General features: G+C 40.5%; 1 protein-coding gene across 12 annotated transcripts in view, besides 2 other annotated features; it reads right to left on the bottom strand.

Moving 5' to 3' along the window:
- Window positions 3157–3731: an enhancer, noted in NCBI's record as "NANOG-H3K27ac-H3K4me1 hESC enhancer chr13:61159285-61159859 (GRCh37/hg19 assembly coordinates)". NCBI's record gives its function as "activates a minimal SCP1, AML or CMV promoter by ChIP-STARR-seq in naive H9 embryonic stem cells {active_cell/tissue: H9 hESC(naive)}" and the evidence as "EXISTENCE:reporter gene assay evidence [ECO:0000049][PMID:30033119]".
- Window positions 4253–4547: an enhancer, noted in NCBI's record as "tiled region #4317; HepG2 Activating non-DNase unmatched - State 3:PromF, and K562 Activating DNase matched - State 5:Enh". NCBI's record gives its function as "activates a minimal TATA promoter and a strong SV40 promoter by Sharpr-MPRA in HepG2 and K562 cells {active_cell/tissue: HepG2 | K562}" and the evidence as "EXISTENCE:reporter gene assay evidence [ECO:0000049][PMID:27701403]".
- Window positions 15003–22375, bottom strand: part of TDRD3 (tudor domain containing 3) — a 178347-nt gene continuing 170974 nt past the window's right edge. For 6 of the 12 annotated variants that reach the window (XM_024449417.2, XM_005266560.3, NM_001146071.1 and 3 more), the window contains 2 exons: window positions 21232–21357; window positions 15003–15269 (listed from right to left, as the gene is read on the bottom strand). In XM_024449417.2, the coding sequence (XP_024305185.1) occupies window positions 15236–15269; window positions 21232–21357 (160 nt within the window). In that variant the 3' untranslated portion in view covers window positions 15003–15235. Of the gene's footprint in view, window positions 15270–21231; window positions 21358–22375 lie in introns of those variants that run through there. The other 6 variants (NM_030794.2, XM_047430682.1, XM_024449416.2 and 3 more) reach the window with 3 other exon arrangements.

Here is a 22375-nt window from a genome sequence, read left to right as displayed (position 1 = left end):
GTTTAGAGGTTAGAAGCAAGATGGAGTTGAGTAGGTCTGATATCTTTCACTGTCATAATTTCCTTAGTTATAATTTTGCAAAGGTGGTTTCAAGTTCAAAGAAATGTCTTCCTTATTGGTTGCATCACATCTTATCTTCTCTTAAGCATTGTAAGGATAGTCTCATAATGTTAATCCTTTTAGAATCTAACAAAGCCTTAAAAGTAGCTGGTATAAACTTCAAATTAGTGGCAGATTGAATGAATAAAAGGATGGATAAATGGATGGATGAATTAATGGATGGATGAATTAACACCTCTCTTATCCTTATTAATATAACAATGTTAATGCAAAAACTAGGGATTAAACTTTTAGCCATATAGCATGGATTTGAGTCTATATTTGTCCAAGCATAATATCTGTAAAATTTTTATTAGAATTTTTGAATTTCTTTAATTGACTTTATAGTATGCATGGAAGTAAAATCTATTTTTGTCCCTATACACCTTAAAATGTAATTAGAGAGAGTTTATAAGAAATTTAAATTGCACATTTGGCCACTTTAAAACAGTTCATTTAAAATGTCATGATTTTAAATGAAATTGTGACTGAGTTTAATAATAAAAACCAAAATTTTCATGCATTGTTTGAAAATGCTATGTTAAATGAATTCTCAGAAGAAGTAGGTTGCTATTTAGCACTTTAAAAAAAACTGACAACTTCTACCCTGCTATTCATTAAACTGTACTTTAGAATACACAATACACTTTTGAGACTTTCAATTTTGCCTTGTAAAGCAGCATTAAGATTTTTCTCCTGTAATTTGTTCAGTAAATTTTATTAGGTCTTCCTCCGACCCTCACTAGGGAGAAGATGAAGAACACTCAGTGAGTAAAGATACAGAGCAGGGAAGGTGTCATTGACAATAGAAGACAAGTTGATCATTCAGATAGCAAAGGACTGGGAGCATGGGTAAAATGTGATTCATGGAGCCTAAAGCATGACAGACAGTATATTTTAAGGGAGATAGTGAAATTTATGGTTCTTGCACATGGGATAGATAGTTGCCACCTATGGAGCACCATTGGTATTAGGTGAGAGTGCCCATTTTAAAGTCCAGAATGCCAAGTCCTGTGTAACTAGTCAAACGAGAGGGTTCCCTGATCCCCCTTGCAAGACGTGTGACAGGGGTGTGGCTTCTCTGGCCACTGCTGTTGCTCAAACCCCTTATGGGAAGGGGAGCATGCAGACAGTCAGGGGCAGGAACCGGGATGAGGGCTTTTGGACTCTGGCCCCAGGGTAGCATCTAGGGGTGGGTGCCTGCAGCTCCCGAAGCCCCAGCGGGTATGCTGCATACTCTTTTAGCTCTGCAATCTGCAGATGGCTTAAGTGTTAACCAGCTCAGTGCCGTCTTGGCACCTAAGTTCTTGTCCAACATCCAGGAAGAATCAGGTCACACACAGACTTGAAGGATGGTGAATGCAGGGATTTTTATGGGTGATAGAGGTGGCTCTCAGAGGGATGGATGGGAAGCTGGAAAGGGGATGGAGTGGGAAGGTGATCTTCCCCTGGAGTTCAGCTGTTCTGCAACTGATCACCTCTCCAACCATCCCCAGCCAAACTCCTCTTGACATTCAGACACTCCTTCTCTTCTTTCCTTCTCTGCTGCATCACTCTTCCATTTGTCTGCTTGTCTGCTCTTGGAGCCTGGGGCTTGGGGTTTATATGGGTACAGGATAGGGGGGCATGGCGGGCCAGAAAGCAACATTTGGGTGCAAAAACAGGAATGCCTGTTCCCATTTATGGCCGTGGTTTCCAGGCTTGAAGGTGGGGCCTTTGCTGGTAAACTGCCCTCTCCTACCCAGTATTTCCCTGTCTCTTGTCTGTATCACTAGCTTCGGTTCTTGCAAGAGCAGCCACTATCTGAAGTGGATCCATATGAGTAGGTCCCAGACTAGAATCTTTATTTGTTGATTTATGTGAGACAGAGTCTTGCTCTGTTGCCCATGCTGGAGTGTAGTGTGGTGATCTCGGCTCACTGCAACTTCCACCCCTAGGTTCAAGTGATTTCTGGCTAATTTTTGTATTTTTAGTAGAGACAGGGTTTCACCATGTTGGCCAGGCTGGCCTTGAAATCCTGACCTCAAGCAATCCACCTATCTTGGCCTCCCAAAGTGCTAGGATTACAGGCATGAGCCACCATGCTGGGCCAGACTAGATGCTGTAGATAGCGAAATTTGTGGTCCTTGCATATGGGATAGTTGTCACCTATGGAGCCCCATTGGTAATACACAGGTGAGAATGCCCATTTCAGTATCCAGAATGCCAGGCCCTAGATAACTAGCCTCATTTCTTGCAAGAGGAGCCTCTATCTGACGTGGATCCATATAAGTGCAGCCCAGACTGGATGCTGTGCTCACATTATCTCATTTAAACCTCACACCTGCTCTCTCAGGTGTGTATGTTCATTTTGTGCTCTGTGAACTGAGGCTCACAGAGGTGAAGTGAAATGACCCAGGTCTCACCAGGAGTGGCAGACTTGAGATTCAAACCTCCAACTGCTAGCTCCAAAGTTGCATTCCACCTGTATGGTGTAGTCTACCAAGTTTCATCACATCACTGAGGTTTACGTTAAAAATTCCACTACACCCAGTTCTGCCATACCATGAAGTATCTTCTACAAAGATCCACCCTACTATTAAGACTTACAAGTACACTGGGTTTCTTCTAGGTTGTCTAGATAGTTTAGTGGAATAGGAATGGAGATAAGGCAAAAAATCCTGTAATGAAGACCTATGTTAGAATACACACTGCATATTTGTTCTACCTTCTTTTGTGCTGTTCCTGTACTACTTGAGTATACCAATTATGGTAGAAGAATTATGAGCCTTGAAACATAATAGTTGTACATATTTTGTGGGTACCCTCAAGGTCCTGCTACTTGCCTAAGGAGAAGCAAATTCATGCAGTATAGTTTGAGCCTTCATAATATTCTAGTTATTCTAAAAGCACCAATTAGGGGCTTACAACAAGTAAGATGGGTAACTCCTGCCCGTTTTAGAAATGAAGAAAATAGAGGTTTTTTTTTTTAAATAAAAAAATAAAAAATAAAAAAAAGAAGAAAAGAAAATGTGCCACAACGGGCAAATAACATGGCCTACAGCAGAACCTGCTTCTCCCCACAGTCTCGGATCTGCTCATTCATCCTATGTCCTCTCTGTGCTAAAAGGCAAATGGCTTAATCAGTCCCACTGAATTTAGGGTTTTGGTGTTGGGGAGGGGATATTTCCACCCTCCTCAAATCTCAGTGCATCGGTGCCGCTTGTCAACACCCAGGCTCCATCCTACTTACCAGGGACACACAGAGCCCGGGAAGGAAGTGGAGACGTGAGGAGCCAGGCAGGGAGGGGGACATGAGTGAGCAAAGGAAGTTTAAAACATGGGGAGGATTGTTCTAGATTTTAAAGCCCACTGAGATAAAATTTCAAACCCCATCAGCTGTAAAAGGCAAAGTCTAAAGAGGAAGAAAGATAGAGAGAAATATCACAGAGAAAAGAGTTGTCCTGGTGCTTGTTTTCTCAGCATTCTGAGAAGCATTCCTCATCGCTGAGCCTGCGCAAAGCAGCGCCCGAGGCAACCAGGATGCAGCCTCTTGGAAATACAGGGCTCAGCCAGAGGCTGAAGAAAGCGCCGCTCAAAGTAGAGCTTGGCAGGCAGGCTGTAAGCGCAAGTGACCTGTGCAAGCCCAGTGCCGGCTTTGCGCTTTGCTAACTCATGGCCTGGTGCCTGGACAGGGCAGCCAAGGTTAGCACGGGGCATGGGCGGGACAATGAGCCCTGTGGTCCTAAGGGACCCTCACAGGCTGATCACATGGCCCTGGAGACAAGGGAATAAGCTCCCCTAAATCTGTGGTTTCTGCAGAGTGGGTAGGCTCACTACTTCTCCTGGGGAACCTATGATAAATATTTGCACCTGTTGGGGGAATAGCATTAAAATCTTCTGTCAATCCAGAAAACCTCTCCTCAAAGGTAATAGAGACAGAAAACAGTTTTATTATGTAATAAACATTAAACCAGAATGTGAGGCACATCACAGGCAATCTGCAAAGAGATCGCAGTGAAAGGAAGAAATTTCACCCTTTTATAAATAGGCAAGCAGATACAACTTAGTGTAACCGCCCAGCAGGGCGCTGCCTAGGCAGAGCCGATTTATCACGACAGGGGAATTGCAACAGAGAAACAGGAAGTCATTCACGCAGAGCCCGGTGTGCGGGGAGACCAGAGTTTTATTATTACTCAAATCAGTCTCCCTGAGCATTTGGGAAGGAGAGTTTCTAATGATAATTTGGTGGGTGGGGGAAGGCCAGTGAGTCGAGAGTGCTGATTGGTTGGGTCAGAGATGAATCATGGGAAGCTGAAGCCGTCCTCTTGTGCTGAGTCAGTTCTTGAGTGGGAGCCACAAGATCAGATGAGACAGTTTATCCATCTGGGCGGTGCCAGCTGATCCATCAAGTGCAGGGTCTGCAAAATATCTCAAGTACTGATCTTAGGAGCAGTTTAGGGAGGGTCAGAATCTTGTATCCTCAGCTGCGTGACTCCTAAACCATAATTTCTAATCTTGTGGCTAATTTGTTAGTCCTACAAAGGCAGTCTAGTCCCCAGGCAAGAAGGAGGTTTCTTTTGGCAAAGAGCTGTTATCGTCTTTGTTTTAACTATATAAACTAAGTTCCTCTCAAAGTTAGTTCAGCCTACGCCCAGGAAGGAAAAAAGACAGCTTAAAGGTTAGAAGCAAGATGGAGTCAGTGAGGTTAGATCTCTTTCACTGTCTTGGTCAGTGGAGGGGAGGGGAGGCGAGGAGAGGTATAGTTTATTACTCATAATTTTCAAGAGGAGGGGCGGATACCCTGCCATGTAAGGCCATAGTAGAGATTACTGAATCAGGTTGGTCACAGGCAGAGAGGGAACAGGAAATCAGGGGAATAAAAATTTTTATTATTTTATTTTCCAGGAATGGGTGAGGCAGGGTGAGTGGGTTGACCAGGTTTAAGCCCAGCAAGTTTGAATCATTTCAGTGGCTCTGGGGTGCAGAGGATGTCCCTAGTTTTCTGAAGCCTGGCTCAGGGCAATTACGACAGGGGGTTAATGTCTCAGAAGCATAAGCGGGCTCGGGATTGGTTTGTTTGCATATGAAAGGCAGTCATTCCCTTTCAGTCTCTAGGAGGAGCAGTCTCTCCCTAGACAGCAAGGCCCCAGATGTCAAAACATCAGATAGAGAAACTAGAAAATGTGGTTAATACAATAGGATTTGATCTCGTGTTGGAGGAATTCGGGATGGCTCAAGAAAAGTGGGTGCTGAGCATTGAATGTTGTCAAGACACAAGATGATTCTCTGAGTAGGTATCTTGATAATGTCTATCTGGATGGTGGGATGAACAAAGCAGAGTGAAAGCCGTAAGAGGTAAAGAAGCAGCAGCCATTCAAATTAGCCGGAAAAGGGAGGGGTTTCATCATTTTTGTGGTTTGGACAATATTCTTATTTTGGTTTTGGCATTTTTCCTTTTTTTGCTTCATCATGGTCACGTGGCCCTGTCTGATCTTGTGTTCTGTGAAATTGTTTATGGGCCACAAGAGAGTTGGGTTGAGTTCCAGGCCAGCTTCTAGATGTCAGGGCTGCTTCTTTGTCACTTAATAGTCCTACAGCGTAAGTAATACTATTGTTCCTGTTTCCCAAATGGGGAAACCGAGGCTCAGAAAAATTAAGCTCCTTGACTAAGGTCACAAAGCCACAAGTAGATGCTTTGTTCCCAGCTACTTCATGATTCTACTTCCTCTCTGCTATAAAGGTTCCTTCTGAAACTATGGCTGAAGATAGGAGGAAAAGCTACACTGAGCAAAAGGGGGATGAATAAACGATTCAGATGTCCACCATAGTACAAGTGTGTTTAAGTAATTTAATAAGTAATTCCACTGGTGCCTTGTTTGTAGTGTGACATTGATAATATAAATAACTTCCTTTTATTGATGTCTAAAAATCTAAGTAAATAATGGATTCAAAGGTTGTAGAAACACTTCAGCACAGGAAAGCCCGACTGAGCTACTGGACATGACCTTGATACCTAAGTAGGAACTATTTGCCATGAAGACTCCAAGAATTAGGTTCCAAGAAGCGGTATAAATGGCACTTCAAAAGAGCAATTCCTGTTGGGATAAGCTGGTTTCATATAAGCAGCTTATTTGCAACATATGGCACAATTTTCTTGTACTAAATCACTCAAGTTCATTCATGGAAAAAATTATTTTAGGAAATAACTAAACTATAATCTAGCCAGCCCAAGATCTGTTTCTTCTCAGGTCGTTCTTGAACAAGCAAATGGTAAATTACCTGAGTTCCTGGGCCTTGTTACTCAAATGACTTCCTAAAACTTTTTAAAGGGATACAAAAAGCTTAGATGGAGACAGTTGTATAAAAAGGGTATTGTTTTGCTAATAACATGAAGACATGAAAAAATTACTATGATTGGGCCAGGCACAGCGGTTTACACCTCTAATCCCAGCACGTTGAGAGGCCGAGGCAGGCAGATCACGAGGTCAAGAGTTCGAGACCAGCCTGGCCAACATGGTGGAACCCTGTCTCTACTAAAAATACAAAAATTCGCCAGGCGTGGTAGCGTGAGCCTGTAATCCCAGCTATTCGGGAGGCTGAGGCAGGAGAATTGCTTGAACTCAGGAGGTGGAGGTTGCTATGAGCCGAGATCGTGCCACTGGACTCCAGCCTGGGTGACAGAGCAAGACTCCATCTCGAGAAAAACAAACAAACAAATGAACAAACAACAAAAAACTACTATGGTCCATGTCAGAATGGAGTGTTTCATATAAAATGGTTATGAAAATCTTCAACTTTATGATAATCACACGTGTCTAGATGTCTCTATTGAATGTATGAGTTTCAGCATGTTAGAAACTCAGTGCCACAGGTTAGGACAAAATGGACACTTATTCATACACATAAACCTGAGTCCACAGAACATTAGAGTTATTCGTTGTTGTTGTTGTTTTTGAGATGGAGTCTCACTCTGTCGCCAGGTTGGAGCACAGTGGCACGATCTTGGCTCGCTGCAACCTCTGCCTCCCGGGTTCAAGCAGTTCTCCTGCCTCAGTCTCCCAAGTAGCTGGGACTACAGGCACGTGCCACCATGCCTAGCTAATTTTTGTATTTTTAGTAGAGACAGGGTTTCAGCATGTTGGCCAGGATGGTCTCGATCTCTTGACCTTGTGATCCACCCACTTCGGCCTCCCAAAGTGCTGGGATTACAGGTGTGAGCCACTGCGCCCGGCAGAACAGAAGGGTTATAATCATATCAAAATACTTCCATATAAGTGTATTTACTTTAGCATGTTTATGTCACATAGATCTATTCCAAAATAGGTGGGGGAAAATTATTTTATGTTTCAAAAATGACGTGTAAAGTTTAGAAGAATTCAGAGTATGGTAAAAATACCAAAGCTAATAATCTATGAGCCATAATTTCCCAAGAGATTGAAAGTATGTATGAAGTTAAAACAAGTACTTTTAAAGTGGCAAATTAGGTAGTAGAGTTATTACTGTCAATACTCGAAAATTGCACATTAAACATAAAGAAGCAGATAGAAAGGGCACACGTGGCCAAATGTTTCCTATTGAAAACCCTAGTCCTGTTAAATAAACGACTGGGACTTCAGATATATGAAAGTTTAACAATAGCAAAGCTAGGCACACACACGTACGGACACATAACAATATAATATTTATAACAACTTATGTGCCCTCTAAGAATTAAGAGCTTTACAAATAATAGTAAGAATTTAAAGACTCCTGATCTCTAAAATGATTACAAAGCTAGTAATATTTTTGATGTTAAATATTCCCTAACAAAGGCAGTTATAACTGTCAATATATTTCTACCACAACCTAGTGAAGAGAGGATAGCTATAATGTGACTTTTTCATTGAATGCAGCAGTTATGTCTGACATTCTTTCTTTCTGTTTTGTTTTTTGTTTGTTTTTTGAGACAAGTTCTCACTCTGTTGCCCAGACTGGACTAGAGTGGTGCGATCTTGGCTCATTGCAGCCTAGACCTCCTGGGTTCAAGCCATCCTCTCACCTCAGCCTCCCAAGTAGCTGGGACCATAGGTGTGTGCCACAATGCCCAGCTAATTTTTCGTACTTTTTGTGCAGATGGGGTTTCACCATGTTGGTTGGGCTGGTCTCAAACTCCTGGGCTAAAACGATCCACCTGCTTCAACCTCCCAAAGTGCTGGGATTACAGGCATAAACCACCATGCCCAGCCATGTTTGACATTATTTCAATGGGTTAAGTAAAGAGCAAGAAAAAGCAGCTTTATTGAGGTATAATTAGCATACAGAAAAGTGCACATAGAGATGGAACAACTTGATAAATATTGGCATAGGTATAATCGGGAAACCATCACCACAATCCAGACAAGAACGTATCATGCCCCAGAAAGTCTTTTCACACCGCTAGGTAATTCCTCTCTCCTATCCCTCCCTACCTCCCCATCTTTAGACAACCACTGATTGATCTGGTTTCTGTCACTATAGGTTACACTGCATTTTCTATGGTTTTCTATAAATGAAATCACACAGTATGTCCTCCCTCCTGAAGTTTCTGCCTTCTTTTACTCAGCATAATTATTTTGAGAGTCATCCCTGTGTTGCATGTATCAATAGTTCATTCCTTTTTACTGCCGACTAGTATTTCATTTATGAATATGCCACATTATGTTTACGCATTCACATGCTTATTTATTTTGTTTTGTTTTTGGAGACACGGTCTTACTCTGTTGCCCAGTTTCAAATTCCTGGACTCAAGGGATCCTCCTCTTGAACCTCCCAAGTAGCTAGGACTACAGGCCCATGCCACCACTCCAGTCTAATTTTTTTTTTTTTTTTTTTTTTTGAGATGGAGTCTCACTCTGTCGCCCAGGCTGGAGTGCAGTGGCGCGATCTTGGCTCACTGCAAGCTCCGCCTCCCGGGTTCATGCCATTCTCCTGCCTCAGCCTCCCAAGTAGCTGGGACTATAGGCACCCGCCACCACGCTCGGCTATTTTTTTTGTATTTTTAGTAGAGACGGGGTTTCGCCGTGTTAGCCAGGATGGTCTCGATCTCCTGACCTCGTGATCTGCCCACCTCAGCCTCCCAAAGTGCAGGGATTACAGGCGTGAGCCACAGCGCCCGGCCCAGTCTAATTTTTTTTAAATGTAATTTTTGTAGAGATGAGGTCTCCCTATGTTTCCCAGGCTGGTCTCAAACTCCTAGCCTCAAAAATCCTCCCACCTCGGCCTCCAAAGCACCGGGATTATACCACACCTGGCCCCCATTCACATGAAGATGGACAGTTGGGTTGTTTCCAGTTTGGGGCTATTACAAATAAACACTCGTGGACAATTCTAAGTATGAACATATCCTTTCATTTATCATGGGTAAAGAACTAGGAGTGGAATGACTGAGTAATATACTAGGCGTATGTTTCTTTAAGAAACTGCCAAACTATTTTCCAAGCAGTTTGTACCACGTTACATTCCCACCAACAGTGTATGAGACTTCAAGTTCCCCTACATTCTCTCCAACCCTTGGTATAATGGCTCCTTTAAATTGTGGTCTTGACAATAGGTGTGTAGTGGTTAATTCATTATGGTTTTAATTTACACTTTTTTAAAATGTATAATGATGTTGAATGTCATTTTCATGTACTCATTTGCCTTCTTTGTATCTTCTTTGGCCAACTATTTGAATCTTTTGCCCATTTTTTAAAAATTAGGATGCTTTCCTATGGAGTTTTGAATAATTCTTTAAATATTCTGTAAGTCCTCCATCAGATCTGGAAATATTTGCAAATATTTTTTCCATGTCTGTAGCTTGTCTTTTTATTTCCCTAACAGTGTCTTCAAGGAGCATAAGTTCTTAATTTTGATTAAGTGCAATTTATAAATTTGTTTTTATGAATAACAAATTTATAAATTGCACTTCATCTAAATTATACTGGTGTTAGATCTAAGAACTCTTGTCTAACACAGGGTAACAAAGAATTTGTTTCTCTCAGATGATTTATAGTTTTTGGTATTACATTAGGTCTATGAACCATTTCTCTGGTATTCTGCCTTGCAACGTCTACTTACCTAGCCTTTCCTAAACTCCTCCATCTCCTACTCAGAGACTGACAGGCACTGCCTGGGTTCCCCTATACCATGGCCTTGAAAATTTTGCCAAGCAGTAACCTGGACAAACTGTAGAGCTCATCTAGCCTGCTTCCCAGCTCTCCAGGGTCACTGCACTTTCTGGCCTGGTGTCCAATGTCTGGAGTGCCAACATCTTGTATATTTTGTCTAGTCGTTCAATTGTTTCAGGCAAGAAGGTAAATCCATCCCCTGATGCTCTATCCTAACCATAAGCAGAAGTCCTGTGAATTCCTGAACTTGAACAAAATTGCCTTTCTTCAGTGGTGAAAGAGTGAGACCTTGCTACCTGAAGCTGGAATGTCACCACATTCCTCTAAATTTTGTTCTTTTCCTATAAACCTCAAAGCATTTAACAGCCTGTGATAATTATGAATATTTCTGTACACTGTTAAACTCGCTGACATAAAAACAGGTTTTTTTAAAAGTTCTGCCTGCCCTTTCACGGGGGCATTTTTCCTTACTACAGCTCTTCTATAATTTATTATTTTTTAAAGAACTAGCCTTACGAAATGGGCAGCTAGCCTCTCACAGCCTTTTATAACTGTCTCTCGAGGTTAGCCTCAGCGGGCCCTGAATTGAATTAGTATATTACTTCAAGTAAGGCTATCCCAATGTGAAACTAAATATCAGGTCATCATGATTTTCTCAAGTCATAATGTTCACTACCTTGGATTATATAATGTGCACCTGACAATTCAGCAGGCAGTGTTTTGAGATTTTTGACCTACATTGTTGATCTACCCATGGTCATAAAAGACTCTGTTTACTCTGTGTTACTTAGAAAGAAGGCAGATGGGAAAATTAGCAAGAAATAGAGAAAAGAGTCACAGGATGCCAGCAAAATCCACACTACTGTCCAGAGACCATCTCCAGTGAATTAAAACTCAGGAGAGATCGCTTAACAGGTTCTACCATTAAGATTTCCACATCCTGAGTAGGAGTGGGAGTCCTCTCTTGGAGAGTGAGATGTAAAAGACTCCTCTCGGTTTTCAGGTATTTCCCGAAAAGCCCTTCTTTTCTTTGGTATTTCTTAATTACTGTTAGTGGTTCCTGGCACCACTGGGTCCAGTCAAGAGAAACAGTTCCATCCTCTTGTGAGCAGAATCTGATATTTATAATGAGCATCTCTCTAAGGCCCTGTTCTCCAAGTAACAACCATAGCTTTTCTTCGTGTTTCTCTAGCCCAGGAAGATCCCATGTTTTTCGTAGTAGGCACTGTACTACTAGTGTGTTTCATACCTGTGTTCTCAAAGGCTGAGAGGAAAACAGATATCTGACAAATGCTTCTCTTTATCAAGCCTGTCATTTCTCAGATTTTGAAATGCTTAAGCATTAGTCAGCTTTGCTTCTAGAATGGGGGCCCAAATACCCCTTTCACCAGCCTCTTTGACCAAAGCAGTGGATTGTGACCCTATTTAAGTCACATACCAGGCCCTCCTTCCACACTGGCTGACAAACCAGTGTGGCAATAGAAAGGAAGCCTAGAGGATTGAGCTCTTGTGGGTGACCCCACCAAGTCTGCACCCTGAAACCATGCCCACCTTGAGGTGCAACTGCCTTAGTTCCAGACAAGCCTGCCTTTTTCCCAGTGCTGCACTGCTACCCACTGCTATCAATCAGGCAATGAGCAGCAGAGGCTCCCAAGTCCACCTCTATCCCAGGAGGAAAACCTGTCCTGCATATGAGGAATCTATTCCTGTGGCTGAGGAGAAGACCCACCTATCTCTCTTAATAGAACTTTATCTCTCCCATCATATGTAAGCTCTAGGACACAAAACTCAAGGTTTCCCTTTTGTAATTAACAAAGAAATTGAGCTAGTCCTGTTCTCTTTCCTATTTATATAAAACCATTTTTTTTTAAATCTGTGGCCTTGTCTTTTTATGTAAACTTATTGTCTTCATGAATATTCTTATCTTCAGTATTTTACCTCTAGAAGTGTTACTGGAATGGGAGACAGGGAAGAACGATAGACATCCTAGCACTTTTTACTTTTGAAAAATGGCATAAAATATATCTATCCATCCCAGAAGGGGACAACAGACAGGGCCTAGTAAAGGTTCTCTAGGCCACGCACTGACATTCTAAGTCACTCACACACAGAACTAGATTTTGTTTTCCTGTGTGTGCTAAGCTAGTCAAAGGGTCTGTGTTGGCAAGACTGATGGCCACTGTGGCCCAGTCACCGTGGGAGCGTAACTCTGACACTGCCGGTCATGTTTTCTTTATTCCCATGCTTATTCCTTGCGGTCAGCTGAACTAGGCATGGGCTTAGCCATGATGTTAGCTATGAGCTACAAAGAAAGGTGCATGAGAGAGAGACGTAACTACATAGAAATAGAGAATCACATGAGGCTGGAGTGTTGTCTTTATGGCCTAAGCCTGAAGGGTCAAGTAAACTACATACTCTTCAGTGAACAGGACACTTCTGCTTTGTGAGCAAAGTGACCAACCTTTCTGAAGGATATCAGCTACTTTGGTTGTAGAATGGAGATAGTGACGCCTACCTTACAGAGCTGTGTGAAGATTTTAAGAAATAATGACTGGTAAATGTTTTAGTACAGTGCTGGGCACATAGGAAAACCTTGGCAAATACTAACAATTATTTTATTATTACATACCCCATCCGCATCTAGGCCTGCAGCTGCCCTTAATAATAGAAAGCCACAGTGAAACTTAGTTTTTGATATATTTAGCCAACTATATCTTGCTCTGGCAGAAATGAACTCCTCACCCTTTAGTGCCCAGTTGCCACCAGCAATCAGAACAGATGGGTTGGCTTCACTTACTGTCCACTTCACTACTGTCCAATTTAAACTTTTCTTGAGTCTTCAGGTCAAATTTATAGATTTATAAATCTATAGCTATCTAGATAATATATATGATCCATATGTCATTTTAATATATATGATCTAGATATCTATCATTTTGTATAAACACATTACCATATGGAACTGTTCTTAAGGACGGTTGAGTAATAACTCCTAACCAACACTAGTATTTATTGAGTGTCCATTTTAGGCTTAATGCTGTATTAGGTATTATTGTCCCCATCTAACAAATAAGTGCCAACAGCCCACATTTTAAACTACCCTCAGGACTCCGTTTCAGTTCTGCTGCCTCTTCCCTTATTATCAGCTGTCAAACGCATCAAAACTGCCATGGGCTTCCTCTGTTTCTCAACCTAAGACACACATTAGAATCATTTGGAGATCTTTAAAAAAATAGCACTGCCCAGACTCACCCACTTCTAGTTAATTATGATGCACAGCATGGGAGGCCTGACAAAAACAAAAACCAAAACACCACTGCTAGACCCAACTATTAACATCTGTGGGCTAATAATGAAAATGTACATAATAGGCCCTGAGGGAATGCCTGAGGACCTCTCCTTCAAAGCACATTTTATCAATTATTTTGCCCAGTGTTCCCTCTCTCTTCTTCCTCCCTCCCTTCCTCCTCCTTCCTTCTTCTGTTTTTAATTGTTCACTCTGGCTTCTCTTTCTCTTCTTCCTTCCTCCTCTGCCTCCCTTCTTTCTTCTATTTATTTGTTCACTTCTGGCTCCACAAGACTGAGACTATAGGAAGACTATTAAACGAAGAGTTTGTAGCTCTGACAATTGGTTTACTGTAATGGATATTCTGGTTGCATCACCAACACCTCTCCCTCTCCTCTTGGCAAGTATCTTGACTTTCAGATGCATATCCTCTGCCTCCAATCCAGTCCCATTGCCAAGCGTGGGGCACATAGATCAGGCCTGAGGTAATCTCTAGGCCTTGCTGGAGTTAATGGTTCACAGATAGAAAAGTAGCCCAAAAGAGCTAAATGCGGTCTAACGAGAAAAGTTGTTCTCTTCTGAGTGCATTTCTGGAAGCAGCCCCAACCCCACCCCTAGGCTCTGGGAGTTGCTGGAAGCCATCTTGTGGCCGCATGGGGTAGGTAGCCTGCTGTAGAATGAAGCTGGTTCCAGAGAAAGCAGAAATGAGAGATAAAAAGAATCAGTCTTTCGGCCGGGCGCGGTGGCTCACGCCTGTGGCAGCACTTTGGGAGGCCAAGGCGGGAGGATCACAAGGTCAGGAGATCGAGACCATCCTGGCTAACACGGTGAAACCCCGTCTCTACTAAAAATACAAAAAAAATTAGCCGGGCGTGGTGGCGGGCGCTTGTAATCCCAGCTACTGGGGAGGCTGAGGCAGGAGAATGGCGTGAACCCGGGAGGCGGAGCTTGTAGTGAGCCGAGATCGCGCCACTGCACTCCAGCCTAGGCGACAGAGCGAGACTCCGTCTCAAAAAAAAAAAAAAAAAAAAAAGAATCAGTCTTTCATGACATCCCCGAGTCACTGAATTAGACCAATCCTGAAACCTACTATGCTTCTGGCAGTGAAGTGAGCCAATAAATTCCCTTTAATGTTTAAGCTGGTTTGAGATGGGTTTTCTGGTACTTGCAACCAGATGCATCCTTAAAGATCCACTGCACCTTTTATGAGGAAGGGAATACCTGTTTTTTAAAATTGAATTACATTTGGAAAAGCTACCTGAGTGTTATAAACAACATATTCAAGTTTTAAATACTTTTTGCCATCATATTTAGCAGGTATTACCATACTAAGAACTGCTATTTGGCTTCAGGCTGTTTTTTTAAGAAATGCGGCAAGCTGTGTCAGTTTATTCTGTAATTGTAGGGGGAGGCTTCAGTATGCTGAAATTGCTATTCTATAGAAAGGCAATTAGTATGGGGTTAATACCAGATGAACAAGAAAGATAACATCAGGCAAATAAAACACACAGTAAAACAATAATAGCACAATGGTTTTATTGACGGCAGAAGAAAAATTCTTCCTTTCACTTGTAAAAGGTATTTGCTTAATTTAACTCAGTATTTTTTTCCATTCTTTGTGTGAGTTGACTGTTTTTTCCACCCTAAAATCTGTTTTTTCTTTCTTCAAATAATAATATCCACCACAGCTACTTATTCTGAAGAGAAAGTGGAAGGTCTGTCAACAGGTTTCCACCAGGGTGTTTCAGTCACTGGCTCGTTTCTTCACAAAGAGTCTACTTTAAAAAGAAATGAAGAAAATGAAATTGAAGCCTCAAATTAACTTTTCCATACTTTGTCAAGATACATTTCTGCTGAAACTTATCTGTAAATGTGAAGTGTTTGTATAAATAGATCTTAACTAGAATTTTGGATACTGCTAATTTGTAAACAATCTTTATAAAGCAATATGAAAGAAAAAAGCAAAATTTTTTTGAAAATAAATTTTTTTTTTAGACTTTGTTAAAGTACATCTCTGCCACTGTTATACCATTTATTGCTGGCATGTTGATTTCAGGAATTTGGATTAACCGAACTGTTTGTAACGGAGGATTACCGAAAACAGATGCAGTCTGCCAATGAACCACGTCTTTCCCTATCCTAACCGCCTCCAGTTCTTCTGTGAACGCCTCTGAATTGAGTTGCTCCACACAGGTGATTTATTTTGGTCTGTCACCTCCCCCTGCCTGCTCCCCACATTTATTAGGCACCACTCTAGTTAAAACCACTTTGGGTGGTGACAAGAGAAAGAGCTGAGATAAATGGCGAGAGAAGACTTGTATGCTCCAGGCCTATTTTAGCCTCATGCATGACAGCGTGCTTAGGCAGGGACTAGTGGAGTTCCTGCGGCTGCATACAAACAGCTCGTAAGTCTTGGGAAGTAAACAGTCTCCTGCTTAGAAAATACAGAGCGTCGGGTACTATAATCCTCACCTGCTGCCTGTTCTGCTGGCATCATGGAGTTCTGTAACAGTTATCTTTACAGTGATCATTTTCCTGACATTGATGCTGGACCAGATTGTCAAAAAAAATTTCAACATTTAAAAATACATCTTTTAGTAGTTAAAAATGGTGTTAAAAACCAGGACTTTGAAAATAAGTTTACAGTACCTATGTAGTAGTCTATGCTTAGCTATTGGTTTTAAGGTTTCTGACTAACACGTGAAACTGGGAATACCATTCTTTCATCAAACAAAGAAGAAACTGGAAGTTCCAAGTGAGTCAGCGTTTATTTAACTGCTTTACACATTGAGCCTTGACCTCCATGGCAGCAGGAGCTTCCTGCTGATCTGTCTTACAAAGGCTTCCTGCACAGGTCTCTGCCATCTCTCTTTTCACAGCAGGACATGCAACTCTAACCAATGTTTGAATGGACCAGTGCAATAGCTTCTTAGATTCTTTCCCTCCTGGTGCTATAATCCATCCTACATCCAGCTGCAATATTTCCTAAGCTTAATTTTGATCATATCACTCTCTTAATCAAAAGTTCATGACAGCATCAAACACAACAAATTCAAACTCTTATGTATTTGAAGCCATGCTGTTTTCATCACCGAAAAATATTTCTAACACCCATTGTTTTGGTTCATATTCTCTATTGTAGCCACTGAGAGCCACTTGCTGTGGACTCTGCTTCCCTCGTTTAAACTTTCCTCTGCCTATACAGTGTCTTCAGAGGACTCCACCCCACCAGGAATGTGAAGCTTAAACTTCATGTCTAAGGGCTGCTCCTACTAATTAGTATCTAGTTCCTAGGACTCCACTCATGTCAGAAACCTCTCCAAACGCACAAAGTTTTGGTTGGACTAAAGAACTGTGTATAATTTCTCTATTTTATATCTGCTCATATTTCCAAGCTGTCTTAACAGTTATGACAGTGTCCAGGAACTAGAAGTTTGGAGTTTTGGGCTCTATCTCCCCTAAAGTCTCATATCTGACTTGTCACCACTTTTTCTCAGACTTGGGCCTATTTTTCCACATGCTCCCCAAGACCTTCTCTCACCTAGCCCTGATTCCTAGGTATCTCCTGCTCTGTCACTGAAGCTGTCCTTAGTATTTGGCTCAAGTGGAATCCAGTTCTCTCACCACAATGAGGAAGTATATGTGTGTGGAGGGTTGGGGGAAGGGGATCTGTGGGGGCCTTGAAAAAAAGTTTTAGGATAATCAAAGAATGTGCAAATTACAATATAAAACTTTATCAAAACATACTGATTTAATAAACACTTACTGAACAGCTACCATGTGTCATTCATCACCTAGTGAAGTACTCAAAACATAAAAAGAAAACCTATGACTGTGAAATTATGTTTTTTAAAAGTGATAATAGAAAGCACCTTAAGTGTTTTTCACTACCTTGATAATTTCAGATAACAAAACCTTAGAAAATTTCAGCATATATTAGAATTCATGCTTATATTTGCTGGAAGTCAAATGGCTGGCTACAATGTTTATCTTTTTTTAGATGTTTAAGTTAATACAAACCAGGAATGAGGAAACAAATATCTTTTATCTCAAGAATATATTCCGTTATGTAACAAGAGCAGAACACTATTATTTTTGAACCTCCCATTCAAAGATAGTATGTCAAAGAGATATTTCATTCTACTTCATAGTCTTTCATAACATATGCTTGAATTACAATGCAAAACTAAGTAAAATTTTCTTCAAACAAGATTACATGTCTTATTTTTTAGGGTGAATTTTGTAGTGAGAGTTTTAAAATGATACCTCATGGCACTGTCCCCCACCAATTTTTTTTTATTGATGTCAGGAATCCAAAATATCTGCATCATATATTTCCTGTTAACAGTACAATCCAAAGCAAGCATTTTGTCGATGGAAGTTTTAACTCAGGGAACATAGAAAACCACCAAAATTGTGATGTTTAAGTTGATTAGGAACTGTGTGCGTTGTTATTTGATATGGATAAGCTACAGTTACCATATGGTAATGGTTTACAATTTACTTTTAAGCAATATATTATTTTTCAAAGGAAATTTCCCATGGAACCCTAGTATATAAAATATATGAAAGAAACTAAAGAAGGGGTCAAGGGGACTAAGAGTTCCCCTCATCTGGCTGCACCCTCATTCATGTTCACTGCCTCCTCTCTACTTCTAGCTCTGCTAGATCCTACCTGCCTTCAACAGCCCTGAAGAAATTGAGTCCACTATTAAACAATGGCTGCCTTCCAGCAATGAGGGCATTGACAATCTTTGGCCACAATTTAAAACTTTGTTTGAAGCAATTAAAAAGAAATAAAATACCCTGATTTCCTTTCCTTTGGATAAATACACAGTAGTGGAATTGCTGGATCATATGGTGGTTCTATTTTCAGTTTTTTTAGGAACCAACTTACTGTTCTCCATAGTAGCTGTGCTAATTTACATCTCCACCAACAATGTAAAAGGGTTCTCCTTTCTCCACATCCTTGCTAGCATTCATTACTGCCTTTCTTTTGGATAAAAGTCATTTTAACTGAGGTAAGGTGATATCTCATTGTATTTGATTTGCATTTCTCTGATGATTAATGATGTTGAGTATTTTTTCATATACCTGTTGGGCATCTGTATGTCTTCTATTGAGAAATGCCTATTCAAGTCTTTTGCCCATTTAAAAAATCAGATTATTATTTTTTTTCTTGAGTTGTTTGAGCTTATATATTCTGGTTATTAAGCGCTTGTCAGATGGATAGTTTGAAAATATCTTCTCCCATTCTGTGGGTGGTCTCTTAACTTTGTTGACTGTTTCCTTTGCTATGTAGGATCTTTTTAACTGATGTTATTCCATTTGTTCATTTTTGCTTTGGTTGCCTGTGCTTTTGAGGTCTTACTCAAAAAGTTTTTGCCCAGACCAATGTCCTAGACTGTTTCTCCAGTGTTGTCATCTACGAGTGTCATAGTTTCAAGTCTTAGACTTAAGTATTTAATCCATTTTGATTTTTGCTTATGATGAGAGTAGGAATCTAGTTTCATTCATCCATATACGGATATCCAGTTTTCCCAGGATCATTTATTGGAGAGACTATCATCACTCCAATGTATGTTCTTGGCACCTATGTCAAGAATGAGTTGGCTGTAAATATAGAGCTTTATTTCTGGGTTCTCCATTCTGTTCCATTGGTCTGTTTGTTTTTATGTCAGTACTATGCTATTTTGTTTACTACGGCTTTGTAGTATAATCTGAAATTAGGTAGTCTGATGCCTCCAGCTTTCTTCTTTATGCTCAGGATAACTTTGGCTTTTCTGGGACTTTTGTGGTTCCATATAAATTTTAGAATTATTTTTTCTATTTATATGAAGGATGTCCTTAGTATTTTAATAGAGATTTCATTAAATCTGTAGATTGCTTTGGGTAGTACTGTCATTTTAACACTATCGATTCTTCTAATCCATGAACATGGAGTATCTTTTCAGTGTTTTGGTGTGTCCTCTTCAATTTCTTTTATCAATGTTTTACAGTTTTCATTGTAGAGATCTTTCACTTCTTTGGTTAAATTTATTCCTAGGTGTTTTATTGTATTTGTAGCTATTTTAATTGGGATTACTTTCTTGGTTTCCTTTTCAGATTGTTTGCTGTTGAGGCTGGGTGCAGTGGCTCTCATGCCTTTAATCCCAGCACTTTGGGAGGCTGAGGCAGGCAGATTGCTTGAGCTCAGGAGTTTGAGACCAACCTGGGCAACATGGCAAAACCCCATCTCCACAAAAAATACAAAAATCAGCTAGGCATGGTGGTGTGCACCTGTGGTCCCAGCTACTAGGGAGGCTGAGATGGCAGGACGTCTTGAGCCCAGAAGGCAGAGGCTGGAGTGAGCTGAGATGGTGCCACTGCACTCCAGCCTGAGTGACAGAGCCAGACTCTGTCTCAAAAAAGAAGAAGAAAAGGGGGGAAAAAAAACAATTGCGGTTGACATATAGAAATAGTAGCATTTTTGTATGTTGATTTTGTATCCTGCAACTTTACTGAATTTGTTTGTCAGTTTTAATAGTTTTTTTGGTAGACTCTAGGTTTTTCTAAATATAAGATCATATCCTCTGCAAACAAGAATAATTTGACTCTTCCTTTCCAATTTGGATGTTCTTTATTTCTTTCTCTTGTTTAATTGCTCTAGCTAGTACTTCTATTTTATTCAACTATGTTGAATACAAGTGGTAAAAATGGACATCTTTGTCTTGTTCCAGATCATAGAGGAAAGGCTTGCAGTTTTTCCCCTGTTCAGTATGAGTCTAGCTGTGGGTTTGTCATATATGGCAAAGCTAAGAGAGAATTCTCAGTTTTCATTCACCTTTAAAATTGCTTTAATTATAAGCACACTGAGCTTATTTTATAAGTGTTAAGTTCTGTCTTATACAACACAAAGTTGCCAAAGTCCTTACATATTCTTTTGATTCTGCTTAAAAGCAGACATGGGCACTAAATGACAAACCAGTTATTCCATGCCGTAAGAAAAATACCTAGAGTCAAGAAGTAGCTCTTCTGTGACACTATGGACAGTAGGTCAGGACTGTTTACTTGATGACCTTGCATTAGGGACACAAAACAAGCCAGTGATAAAAGGAAAAAGGTGCTACATTGGCTGGCTACAGTAATTCAGAAGTCAATTAGCATTAGACTTCCACTCTAGGCAGACTACTACTACATGAGAAGCTGAGGGTTAGAACAGATGAAAAAAATTTCTTCACTTAGGATGGCAGAACTAATTTTTAACCAGGGAAGGAACTCTGGGGAAGATAAAGACATATCACATTCTAGGACAGTGCTGCCCAGCAGAAATATCACAAGACATATGTAATTTTAAATTTTCTAGTAGCCACATTAAAAGGCATGGTGGCTCACTCCTGTAATCCCAGCACTTTGGGAGGCCAAGGCAGGTGGATTACCTGAGCTCAGGAGTTCAAGACCAGCCTGGCCAACATGGTGAAACCCCATTGCTACTAAAAATACAAAAAAAAAAAAAAAAAATCAGCTGGGCATGGTGGTGGATGCCTGTAATCCCAGCTACTCGGGAAGCTGAGGCAGGAGAATCGCTTGAACCTGGGAGGCAGAAGTTACAGTGAGCCGAGATCACGCCACTGCACTCCAGCCTGGGCAACAAGAGTGAAACTTCGTCTCAGAGAAAAAAAAATCACTAATTGGACTTATATGCTTAACATGAATTTCATCTTTCTTTATATGAAAACCACTTCACAATGTTAAGTTTACCTTTTCCTATTAGTTCCGAGCCCGGGGTGGTTGGTAAAACTGTTGGGTTGGCCGAGTGGATCGTCTTGGCTGGCCATCACCTCCCCTACGGAACTCCAGAGTTTGATCGTAGGTGCCTTCTTCCTCCTATTTGCAAAGAGTAGTGATTTTACATGTTCAAAATGGCTCCAAGTTTCTTAAGTAAAAAAAATTGTATGGTCCCTATTTTAATAATATCTCTCTTAAGCTGCCCTGGAATTCACACATGTCAACTTTTACAACAGAGGGAGGCAAGGGGAAGGGAAAAGAAAAGAAAAGAAAAGAAAAAGGCAGGGATACTGTTAAAACTCTTTTGATCCTTGGTAATAGAAAAACATCATTTATAGTGGTAAGATTAGAATTGAATTTTATTCTAGAAAAGGAAACTATTTCCAAATAATAGCAAGATCATCTCATCAAATGGCTTGACACAATGTGGTAAAAACATACAGAAAAGCAAGCATTATAATGACAATTTTCTTGAATATTTGGGCTTCTAAATGTTTCTAGGTATTTATCATGGAAAAGTGTTTTGGTAGAATAAAGAAAAGGGGTTGAAGAGCCAAAGAATGTTCATCAGCTGTCTGTCCCCATCTGATGAAATCTCCAGCACTGTTAAGAACCTTACATCTAGAGACAGAAAAAAATAATGGTTTGGAATAGGGGAGGAATACAATTTACATATAAAGAAAGCTTCATGCAAGATAGAGAGATCACCAGAGTAAGACTCAAACTATTTTATTTTTATTTGCTTTCTTACTGAGTGGGTATATCTACCAGTTCAAGGAGTAGCATAGGGAAATTAGGATAAGCAGATTAAATAGCATAAAGAGTATAGTTAATGATAATATTTGAAAAGGACTTAGAAGCAACAAAATACAGCCAAAGCCACACTGGTTTCTTACTGAGTACTGCCACCCTGTTATTTAAATGTTTTTGAATTAACACAGCTATGAAGTATGTGCCCTATTAGAGAGAGAAAAAATTAGCTCTCAGTTTTGCTTATGAAAAAGAAAGCATCTATTTCACTAAGTAGGGAGTTTAAATTCCAACTGAATTATCAGAGCACAATAATTTGCATTACTTTGGAAATTAATCCTATTTTTTCTCTTCCTTACTTTATCTT

The sequence above is a fragment of the Homo sapiens genome, chromosome 13, assembly GCF_000001405.40.
Source record: "Homo sapiens chromosome 13, GRCh38.p14 Primary Assembly".
Classification (NCBI taxonomy): domain Eukaryota; kingdom Metazoa; phylum Chordata; class Mammalia; order Primates; family Hominidae; genus Homo; species Homo sapiens.
This window is presented reverse-complemented; position numbering and strand designations above follow the sequence as displayed.